General features: G+C 36.1%; 1 protein-coding gene across 4 annotated transcripts in view, besides 1 other annotated feature; it reads right to left on the reverse strand.

Moving 5' to 3' along the window:
* Positions 1–12,363, reverse strand: part of PRELID2 (PRELI domain containing 2) — a 606,358-nt gene that overhangs the window by 357,716 nt on the left and 236,279 nt on the right. The gene's annotated exons all lie outside the window — the stretch shown is intronic.
* Positions 449–1,648: an enhancer, noted in NCBI's record as "CDK7 strongly-dependent group 2 enhancer chr5:144966712-144967911 (GRCh37/hg19 assembly coordinates)". NCBI's record gives its function as "activates an origin of replication core promoter dependent on BRD2, BRD4, P300/CBP, MED14 and CDK7 cofactors, with strong dependence on CDK7, by STARR-seq in HCT116 cells {active_cell/tissue: HCT116}" and the evidence as "EXISTENCE:reporter gene assay evidence [ECO:0000049][PMID:35650434]".

Genomic DNA, 12,363 nt, shown 5'->3' on the forward strand with positions numbered 1-12,363 from the left:
GCATGAGGTAGGTCAGACTCGCTAGATTTTAGAAAAGGAAAGTTTGAGATTATTAAATCCAACCTCCTAATAGTACTGATGAGAAATCTCAGGCCCAGAGAACTTACATAACTTGTTTGAGTTCAAATATATAGATGGTTATAAAGCCAGGATTATAACTATGACCTTTAGACCCATTATCCAGTGTTTCTCAACAATTCTTGTTATCCCTAATTCCAAGGAAAGGAAATATGACAAAGAAAGAGACAGGGGAGGAACTAAATATAAAATATACACACACGCACACACACAATTCAGTGAAACTAATTGGTTATTGTAAAGGCCAAATATGCCAAGAGTCTATCTGGCCTGCTATCAGACTAATGTTGTGAATGACTGCTGAATTATTACCCACAACTGGGTAATTGTGGCCAATGAAATGAAGATACAGCATCAAGCCAGGGAACATCTGGAAAACATATAGATCAAGCCTTATCACCATTCATTATCACCAATTCGTGGCTGGCTAAACTTGGCCACTCCCAGATGCCATGGAGTTGGGAAAAAAGTGTGAAAAAGTATCCTATTTGGTGTGTGATATTTCTGTAAAAACAGTCCTCGAGCTTGGAGAATGCAGAGACTTACGTTATCCTTTGTGGCAAAGCAGTTTACTTCTAGCCTTCGGGCCCGGGTGGCTGGGATGTTTTATACATCAGCAAGCATTAGAAAGATGCCGATGTCGAATTGACTTTCTCCTCTTCATGCATCTTCAGTTAACATCTGCTGACAGGGCATATACCCATGAAAACAGAGTCATAAAATTCAGCTCTAACTTTGCAGGAGATACTAAAATATATCTTTGGGGGCAATAGAGAACCTAGTCCTAATGATGTTTACATAGGAGCATAAATAGTAAAATTTGGCTTTTCTATCGCACTTTGAGAAAGCATAATACTTCATACTCAATTTTATTAGCTATTCCTTGTGGGCTTCCATTACATTATAATAAGGTACACCAAGCAAACTTTACAAACAGCCCAATCATGTCCTCCTTATTCAGCTGCAACCAAACTGTAAAATATCATTTCTATTTCCTTGATTCACTGGTATTTGACTCAGATTTTCCCTGGATGACTCAGCTACTCCCAGGCTGAAAACAAGCTTTGAAGATAACTTTTTTCAGGCCACTGGGGTACCTCTGAGTAACTTACTTTGAAGTATGATAGCAAATGAGTAAGAAGGAAAATTTCATTTCTGCCATTCTGGCAGCCACCACTTAGAAAGAGGGAGTAGAAATTTCTTAATTGATCATTTTTGCCTGCTTACTAGGATTTAGGTACAAGAAGCCTCATGCTGCCAGATGAAGCAAGAGGAAAATTCCATTTCCCTTCCAGCAGCCCCACTGATGTTTAATACTGTTTCATTCGTTTAGAACTACTCCCCTAACGAACATCACTGTCATCAACATCATCATTTCCATTTCTACCATTTATGGTATGCTCAGATATTCTAGGCACTATCTTATTTATGCTATAGTATATTTATCCTATACATAGATATTTTTCTTATGATACAAGTAAGGACACCAAAGCTTAGAGACTGGAAACCATCCAGACTGTTCACGTTGCCCTAATTCCTCCTGAGCAGCACATCTCCCTGCAGGCTCCTACTCAGCAAAGAACGCCATATGCCAAAAGCCCTACCTTTCCTTTCCCATAAAGAAAACTCCTATTCCCTCAAGTGTAATCAATCTGACTGCTTTTGTCCCAAATCGTACTTAAGTATGAATGAATGAATAGACCTGTAATCCACCCAGAGATTATTGTTCTTATATTCATACTCACATCTATATGTAGAAGACTATTGTCCCAAATTAATTTTTAACTCTTAGAATTTTAAGTAGTACAATAAGGTGGCATTAAGATAATTGAGAGAGGGTGCACATGTGTCAAAAATGAACTGACTTGGCAGGTCAGTCCTACCTCATGCTCTCCTGAAGCATTTACCCTTGCTCACAATTACACTCATGCCTTTGCCCAATCTGAGACGCCTGGATTCTCTCAAAAATAGTGATGATGATCCCTTCCCATCCTCCCTTGGAAGGCAGCACCAGCAGCAGCCAGGTTCAGAAAGGAAGTGAAGCCCTGCAATGACTGTTTAAAATCCACACACTGTGTTTTAGGGTATGCTTTTTATTGGTAAAAAAAAAAAAAATCGTCATTTTCTCCTGATTATAGGAGTGATATATGTTAGTAGTAAAGCATTCAGAAACTAGAGAAGATAAATAAGAAAATAAGTATCTATAATCTTACCTCTAGTTTATTACCACCTCAACTGTTTGTTGTATTTTCTTCCAGAAAGAGGGAGAAAGAGAAAGCTAGTGGCTGGCTATATAAATAAAATGTAGCAATTTTTTTGCACAAAATACCTACTGCACAAACAGTTTAAAATTCTCTGTGTGCCTAACCTTAATTTTCAATGGGTGCATAACTGTATTTTTGCATCATCCTTCCCTTACTGTTGAGCATTAGGTTATTACTCATGTTTTACTTTTATAAACCAGGCTCTGGTAAATGTCCTTGCATTCAAATCTTTATTCACATCTCTGATTACTCACGTTAGAAAGGCTCTTACATGTTCAATTACTCTACACAAGGTGAATTTTAATTTTAATACTTTTGATATACATTCCCAAAAAGTAAAGGTTAATGGTTAAAAGAGTGTAATTTACATGAAAACTATCTGAACATGTCCATACCACCACACTCTCGGTAGAATTGAATATCATCATTTTTTTTCTTTGCCATCATAACAGGCATAAGTCACATCACTTTCTTTGTTTTCAATAAACTATATTTTATTTCTAGTAAGGCTGAATTTTTTTTCATAAGTTCAGAAGGTTTTTGCATTTATTCTTATGTGAATTACCCATTTATGTCTTTTGTTATTTCATTAATTGTAGCCTCAGTGCTTTTCTGGCCTCATTGATTAGCTTTATATGCATTGCCACATTTATTGAAGACATTTTTCTAACTGTTTTCTTTTGTGATTTCTTATACTGATTTCATGTTTAGAAAATTCTTTCCTACACTAAACTCATATACATATTTTTCCATGTTTCCTTCTAGTATTTTATGGTTTGGGTTTTTATGTTAAGTTTGTAAATCCACTTGTAATTTATTTTGTTGTATGGTTTGATGTAAGAATATTATGTTTTTGCACAAACAACAAATGCATCCAACACCACTTTTTGAATAGCCCATCAGCTCCTCATTGGCTTGAGATGATGCATTCTTTAATATGCATGATATTCTTATATGTACTACATATGAATTATGTACTAGGATTACGAAGGGAGTATGAATTGCACTTACCAGACCTCCAAATTCCTACATATTCTCTGCTTATCTTTCCAACTTTACCTCCTTTCTCCCTACATTTAGAGCTCACTGGCTTTTTCTTATTCTTAAAAACTAAGCTATTTCTAGCCCCAGTGCTTTCACCAGAGTTTGTTCCTTCTTTCTGGTCTGGTCCTCCCCCAGATTATTGGATGGTTCCTTTGTCTCATTCTGGTGTCTGTTCTAAAATCCACTTCTGTGAGAGGTCTTTTCTGATCACCCAAATGAGAAATATCCCTTAGATACTCAAGTGTTCTCTGTTCTTTCATGAATTTTATTATCTTCATAGCATTTATTACAATCTAACATTTCCTTATTATTTATGTATGTGTTTGCTTATTTATTTATTTATTGTTTATCTCTCCCACTAATATGTAGGCTCAACAAGAGGAACCTTGGGACCTTGACTGTCTTGTTCAGCATTATAAATATTCTCTGAGCCTAGAACATGCCTGAAACATGGCAGATAACCAACAATCATCTACTACAATAATAAAGAATTTTAGGAATTTCATCAATATGTCAATTTATACTTGTATTAGTACCAGTCTTACTAAATTGTTACAAATCTAAAATGCATCTTAGTATTTGGGGGCAAATTCTCCTCATCCTATTTCTTTTCAAACTTACCTTTGTCTATTAGTCCAGATAATATCTAGAATCAGTTTGTCAGATTATCTGTCTCACATATACTCCATTTTATGTCCCATCCCGAGGAAAACTCTGGCCCCCAGAGTTTGCCTATGCCCCCCACTGACATTAATTAAAACCCATGAATACAGTAAGATAGAATGGACACTGTCTAGACTCATGGGAATATTGAATTGTTCAGTATTTTCATAAGACCACCTGATGCCCAAACTCAAGGAAACGCATGGATTCTTCAATCTGAAAAGATTAACTTGCTTCCTTACCAAATAAGAATTTAAGTTCCTTGGCTAGGCATGGTGGCTCATGCCTGTAATCCCAGCACTTCAGGAGGCTGAGGTAGGAGGATTGCTTGAGCCCAGGAGTTCAAGAACAGCCTTTGCAACATGGCGAGACCCTGTCTCTACAAAACATAAAAATATTAGCTGGGCATGGTAGCGCATGCCTGGGGTCCCAGCTACTCAAGAGACTGAGGTAGGAGGACTGCTTGAGCCCTGGAGGTTGGGACTACAGTGAGTCATGTTTATGCCACTGCACTCCAGCCTGAGTGATAGAGCGAGACTGTGTCTCAAAAAAAAAAAAAAAATTGAGACCCACATTGATTTGGCCATAACATCACATTGAGCACTGGCTTTATTTTTTAAGTATCTATTTCAAAATAATGGATGAAAATAATAAAGCAAAATTTTTAATATTTTTCTACTTTGGAGAATAGACCATTTCATAGTACAAAAGGAAGTGATAATTCAGCAATCTCTGGATGAAGTGGACTATGGAGAGTAACAATCTATGTAATTTTGAATGTTAGGATGAAGTTTGTATGTTCATGGCAGTGCCATGGCATTGATTTCAGGGCACTTTAGCTGACAAAAATGTTCAGGCTTCACTGATTACTCAAAAGCTCTTGAGAATTTTTTTCATAAAAAAGCACAAATATCCCACACTAAATCAAAGCTGCCATGATAGAAAAGCTGACCATCCCTGCTATGTGAGGGACCCTCCCAGGAAACCCATTCTTTACCACAGGAATTGGGCTGGAGCCACTGACTAACTTTGCTAATGCTCATATCAGCATTTGACTTGCATACTTAAAACCTTTCCCTGGATCTGATTTGATTCTGAAATAAAAATGAAACTTCCTCAGCTTGATGTTAATGGCCACTTGGTGATGAGTGCTGCTGTGCTATCGTCTAAACCTACTATGTCAGTCTCACTGCTTCATGTACATTCTTCACCTCTACCTCATCCTACATTCCATACACTATCCATGAATGTGCTGAGAGAGAGGAAAATTTCTATATACATTTAAGCTGGCTCAAGACTAGCTCATAACTTAAATGCAGCATGAGTTGTAACAGCAAATGAGCTGAAACAACCATCTTGCGCATCATTAGAAAACTTGTTAAATCAGCCAGGCACGGTGGCTCACGCCTGTAATCCCACCACTTTGGGAGGCTGAGGAGGGTGGATCACAAGGTCAGGAGTTTGAGACCAGCCTGGCCAATATGGCGAAACCCCGTTTCTACTAAAAATACAAAAATTAGCTGGGCGTGGTGGTGGTGCCTGTATTCTCTACTCGGGATGCTGAGGAAGGAGAATGACACTGAGGAAGGGATGCTGTAAGGCGGAGGCTGCAGTGAGCCAAGATCACGCCACTGCACTCCAGCCTGGGCAACAGAGCGAGACTCTGTCTCAAAAAAAAAATTGTATATATGTATATTTCTATATAAATATACACACACATACATACACACACACACACACACACATTGCTATGGAGTGATGACCACAGCAGAATAGAAAGTGCAAGTTGTAGACAAGTGTGCAAAATCTGCTACTCTACATCTAAAAAAGAGGAAACAAATGTATTTACATCATTGCTTATATTTTTTAAAAAGTGAAAATCCAATCATAAAATTTTTGGAATTGATTCTTTCAAGAAGACAAAGTAAATAGAGCTGAGAGTTAAGAATTCAAGCTAGACTTAATTACTTTGTTGCATAACAGGTAATTAACATTAAAATTATGTTTTAATAATTATAAAATAACATTTAATGTAAAAATGCAACCGACAGACATTGAAGATAAAATGAAACATATTAAGCTAACTATGTAATGACAGAGAAAGTAACTATTTCAAGTCACCAATAGGCACCAATAGTTTGACTACACCTTCCTATTGGAATATATACCTCAAGAAAAGAAAGAATTGAAAATAAAAACTATTTTTAGTAATCATGTTGTTGGCAATAATGTTGATATTTTTATTCTGAGACTACTGTGAATGTGACTAAGCAGAAAAGTAATTATGTTAGTGTTCTTGAGAGCTGAGGTATCCAGGATGGGAGAAAGAAAATGGATGTAAGATCAGTAAAGTAAAATAAAAAGACTGTAGTCCTGAATATGGATTGGAAGTATCAGTAAAATTCATGATATATTTTGTTTCTTAAAAAGAATCATACGTCCTAGTCTTGTCTATTGAAAAGGCATAGAAACAAGGAAGGACTCAGTAGCAAAGGACACTTCTAATACCAAAATTGTGGCCCCTAAATACCATTTCCCATTTAAAGGAACCAGGGCTCCTTAGAGAAGTGGCCAAATACAAGTCTGTGGTAGGAAATCTGTAAAATGAACCTGAACATCTTGTGATCAAGGAATCTATGAAAGGTTTCTAAGGTCATTTCAAGAAGACCCAAGAGTTAATCCGAACAGCCAGCTATTGGCAAAAATTGCGGCAACTGGAGTCCATTGCAATCAGTTAAAACATCCAGCAGTTTTAAAATATGAATTTATAGTATGACTAACAAAAACATTATAGGCAACTTTTGAATCCTAAGGAATCAACTCATTAGACAGAAAACTAATGAAAAAGAAAAGGAAGAAAAGGCAGAGGAAGAGGAAAGGCAAAGAGAAAGTATAAATCCTGCCTTTACCACATGAACTGTACTGCAGAGTCATCAAACAGTTCAACAACTTGGGTTGGAATCAGCAGAATTCAAAATATGAAAACCTTGTAGGAAAAACACCTGAGTTCTTCAACCAAAAAATCAGAAGAAAAAAGATGTGGTAGATGAACTCATTGATTAAGAGAGACTCAAGTGATATATCATTTAATCATGAACTATGACCTTATTTGGATCCAGACTCACACAAACTGTAGAAAACAAAATGAGACAATCTGGGAACCTTGAACACTAATGATATTAAGAAATTACTGTTAAAATTTTTAGATTTGATAGTGGTATTGTGATAGTATTTTTAAAGAATATCTTTTGTCTTTTGGATATAATACTTAAATATGAATGAAATTGTATGCATAGTATTTGTTTCAAATTAATTGGGGTATTGTTTAGTGAATGGGGTATATAGGAAAGATGGGCTGTGAGATTCTGATTTTTAACCCTTGATAAGCATCCATAGAGGCTTACTATGATATTCTCTTGTATATGTTTGCATTTTTTCATAATAAAAGTTGCATTTATAAATTAAAAATAATTTCCAAAACATTTGTGTAATAGAACATAGGTATGCCTATTTCCCCACACCCATACTGGCAATGAGTTTATCTTTTATCATTTGTGCCAACTGATAAAAAGTATCAGTTTGTTTGGTGTTTTTTTTGTTTTGAGTCAGTGTATATCTAGTCCATGACACATTAATAATAAATAACATTAACTTTTTTTACTAATTATAGAAATGTGGCTTACATCTTATTGTTTTTCTGATCTTCCTGACTTTCATCTCAATTTGCTTTGAAGAATTACGCTCACTTCAAAAAACGTATTAAAAGGAAATATTCTGTGACATGTTCATTGATGTATGCATGAAGATCCTCATCACAGTATTATACATAAAACCAAAAATTGGAAATGACCTAAATGTCCAACTTATGTAGCCACAAAAGTAATTATATAGATGTATATTTATTGACAAGAATATTCATAATTCATCAAGTTAAAACTTATAAAAAACATATAAGTCCATAAAATATTAAGAGTGATTGTCCCTAGGTGGTCAGATTGTCAGTAATTTGAGGTTTTGCTTATCGTATTTTCTATTTTTTAAGCAATGAACTCATGTTAGTTTAACAAAGACTAAAGTTTAAGAAGAGTCATAATAGACCAGGCACGGTGGCTCACGCCTATAAATCCCAGCACTTTGGGAGGCCGAGGTGGGCAGATCGCTTGAGGTCAGAAGTTCAAGATCAGCCTGGCCAACATGGTGAAACCCCATCTCTACTAAAAATACAAAAATTAGCTGGGTGTGGTGGCGGGTGCCTATAATCCCAGCTACTCAGGTGGCTGAGGCAGGAGAATTGCTTGAACCCAGGAGGCAGAGGTTGCAGTGAGCCAAGATCGTACCACTGCACTCCAGCCTGGGCGACAGAGCCATCTCAAAAAGAAAAAAAAGAAGAAGAAGAAGAAGAGTCATAATAGACACACACACACACACACACACACACACACACACACACACTAGTTCAAAGCCAGAGTCAATAAATGGCACACCACATGTCAGCCATGTTATTTACTATCGATTACCCTGCACTATTTATTTTTTTGGCACGGCCTTTCTATGACAGGTTAATCTATAGTAATACCAAGAGAGAAAGCAAAGTCTTTTAAGCCTTCGTGTTCAAAAAGAAGAGGTAAAGGTGGGTTGTAGTTTGGAAGCACCAAATCAAAGAGCTCAAAATTATCATAGACAATATAAATAAAATTGCAGAAACTGGCAAAGCTCCACCTTTGCCAGTTCTATACATTCATGCATCCACTGATTAATTCAACAAATTCTCATTTAACACCTCAGTGTGCCAGGCACTGGACTAAGATGTCAGTATTGTAGTGTATGCCATACCCTGGTCGTTAATGAATTCCATGTCTATTAGAAAAATAAAACTTCAGACTACTGAAACCTGCTTGGACTCTCAGGTTTTTCAAGTTAAACTAGCCCCTCCAGAGTAGACTGTAAATCAGACTCTCAAAGTCTGTGCCCTCCCTAAAAGTAGCATCATCAAAAGTTGTATTCCTCTTTTGAATAAGTTGTTCAAGTACCTCCCCTTCATTTTTTAATGGTTACATGTCTACTTTTAAAATTCATTTCCATCATATCACTCTGGGTTATTCAGTATGTCTAAAAAATTAATTCAGATAAAATGAAACCAACAGTTAGTTACCCTTTCCAAATATTTCTTCACTCATATCTATTCAAAAGCCTTAGCCAGGTGTGGTGGCACACACCGATAGTTCCAGGGACTTGGAAGGCTGAGATGGGAGCCCAGGAGGTGAGCTCAGGAAGTAAAGGCTGCAGTGAGCCGAGGTGGCACCACTGCACATTGCACTCCAGCCTGGGTGACAGAGTGAGAGCCTGTCTCAAAAAAAAAAAAAAAAAAAAGTCTGTTTAGGCTCTGAGCAAAACAAAACAAAGAAAAAGAGCAAAAAATGAAAGAAAGAAGAAATGGAAGGAGGGAGAACTTATGTTAATATACTCAAAAGATTTAAATTACTTAATGACTTTATTTATTCAGCTAGCTCTGACTCTCCTCTCCAATTAAGTTTATCAGAAGGGAGGTTATTAGTGTACAAAGAAAAAGGTAACACAATTTTATCTCTATTTTACAGACAAGAAGCATAAAGACATACTAATTAGACCTGGCATTTATCCTGGAAATGAGGTCTCAGTACCACAGCTTAGGGGAGTGGTTCTACTAGACGAAAAATCAGCCAAAACATTGGGTGATTCTTGTTCTTGTTTCAAATGAGAAGAATATCAAATTCTTCTCATTTGAAAACCAGGTTCTTGTTGTTGTTCCTGCTCATCAAACTCTAAGACTGCTCATCAAACTCTAAGACCAAGCCTTCTTGCCTACAATAAGTCACTGACTATTTAGAAGGATCAAAAAATGCACAGTACTTCCCCACAACAAACACTGTGATTTATTCTCAGTGGGGACCCCTGCGCAATCAGAACCTAAACATCAGAGTTCGTACATGAGATAAACTCACTTTGTGTCTTGACTTTAAGAGAAGTCAGTCTTCAAAATACAGATTCAAAGAAAATATATAGTATAAGACCCTGGACAATGGATGAATTTGTTTGCATATCTTAAATATAACTTGAGAAGCAGAATTAAAATATTTTATGCTAAAGAAACTGCTCACTAATGGCTTGTCCTGATTTGACCCCCAACATTTCTTCCCTCAGTGATTAGTCATTTGTCACTGTTCCATAGTCCATTGAGAAGATGAATGGCAAACACGAAATGCAAATTAGGGGCTCCATATGGTCAAAAAATACTACATAGCAGAAAACATAAGCACATCAGTAGAGTTAACCTTGCTGAACATAAGTAATTAGAAACTGTTACTATTACAAGCTCAAATATTGATATGAAAATTAAATAACTGAATTTTTAGCAAAGATTTCTAGATCTGAGAAAATTTATGACACTATTTCCTTAATTATAAGGCTTCTACAAAGAGCATGGAAATAAATTATCCTATGTATTAGCAACTAAATGTAGTAACTGTACTATTTAGTGCCCGAATATTTTATTTTCCTTTACTATCCCTAGAAAAGGTAGTACCCAGTCTTACCTATCTGTAGACTTCAAGCCATATCTAGCCAAAGGTACATGACATAACAGATCTGGAAATTTTGCCAACTATCTGATGATAGATGCACACTGAACTAATCCATTGGCATGAATTCTGACAGGGGTATCAAAGCATTTCACAGAGTAGAAAAAATTAGTTCAGAACAATTTAAAATTCGAGATAAATGAGTATTGGGTTGAACAATACAATACTGCCAATATTTGACCATTTTTAACCTATGAAGGCAATTTCAGATACTTCAAATGAACTTATGGCATGCATCCTGCCACTTTCTCTTTCTCACCCAGACAAACATACTGATATGGCATTCTACATGTTAAGTCAAGAATTCTTAACTCTATGTTCAAGCTATCCAATATCAATCAAATAATAATCACTATCAGAAGGGCAGGTGAATCTTGTTGAAAATCCCAGATCTAGATTTCTTTGCTAACATACTGCACCTGCAAGATTTATTTATTAATTTATTCACTATTCATCCAGTAATTACTTTTTAAATATTTGCTCAATGAATTGCATTGAGTAAGGAGCTGGGTGAATACAGAAGTGTCTATACATGGAGATTTATAAGCTATTTTCTGTGCAGAATATACACATAAAAACTATGCATCAAAACCAGATAGTAAACGTAAGATGCTATTGGAGAAAATAAAGCAATACTTGGGCTTCAGCACAAGAAGAAAGGAACAATCCCATGGGTTAGATTGGCCTGGAAGGCTTCATTAAAAGTTCAATATTTAGATAGGTAGGCTTTCAATAGACAAAGTGAAAAAAAGATGGCATATCAAATAGAAAGAACTTTGTGATCCGGAGGGAATGTTCATGATATGTGTGAATGAAGCAAGGGGTGGTAAGAAAAGAGAAGTCTATTAAATAGACCAGTACCAGTGAAGTCGAAGTTTTACCAAGGGAGGATGAGAGATAAAGTTGGAGAACAAAGTCAAAATTTAGAGTGGAGAAAGCAGTCTAAGCAATATAATAGTATTCTCTAAGTAATAGGGTGCTGCTGAACGCTTTGAGCAGAAGCATGACAAGATGGATTGTTCTCGAAAAACCGGTCTAGCATCTATGTTTAGGATGAATTGCAGGTAGAGACAACCAGAAGCCAGCTAACAGATGATGTTGCCATAACAAAAAAATAGATAAATCTAAAATGTGCTTACTAAATTGCACCCTAAACATATAAAAGACTATTATGAAGTGAAATAAAAGAATACGTAATTTTGGTATGAATTTGGATTCAATTCACCAAACACTCATTCAGCACTCCTCACTGTTGTGGCACAGTAGCATTTCATTTATTCAACAGAAATGTAATGAGTACTCTGTTCCAGACATTTCTTGGCTCTGGGGATAGAGGATGAAGTAAGCACAGACAATCTATGGTCTCAAAGAGCCACATTCCAGTGAGAGAAACAGTAAACAAGAAAAAAGAAGAATATATATCACAATTTGTAATAAGTGTTATAAAGAAAACAAACCAGGTGCAATAATAGAAAATAACGGATCTTCTTCATAAGAATGGTAAGAAAGAGTTTGCTAAAGAGATGACTGTTAAGCTAAATACTCAAAGAATTATTAGAGTTCTGGTTCCACTGGTGCAAACATACCAACCATATATTTCAAAGGCAACATGGTTTTTCCTTCCTTTTTTATCCCCCTCTATGTCAAAACTTGATTCAGCCTATAGGTTGTTACCCTTTCAACTAATCATGGACCCC

Source organism: Homo sapiens, chromosome 5 (genome assembly GCF_000001405.40).
Source record: "Homo sapiens chromosome 5, GRCh38.p14 Primary Assembly".
In the NCBI taxonomy this organism is placed as follows: Eukaryota; Metazoa; Chordata; class Mammalia; order Primates; family Hominidae; genus Homo; species Homo sapiens.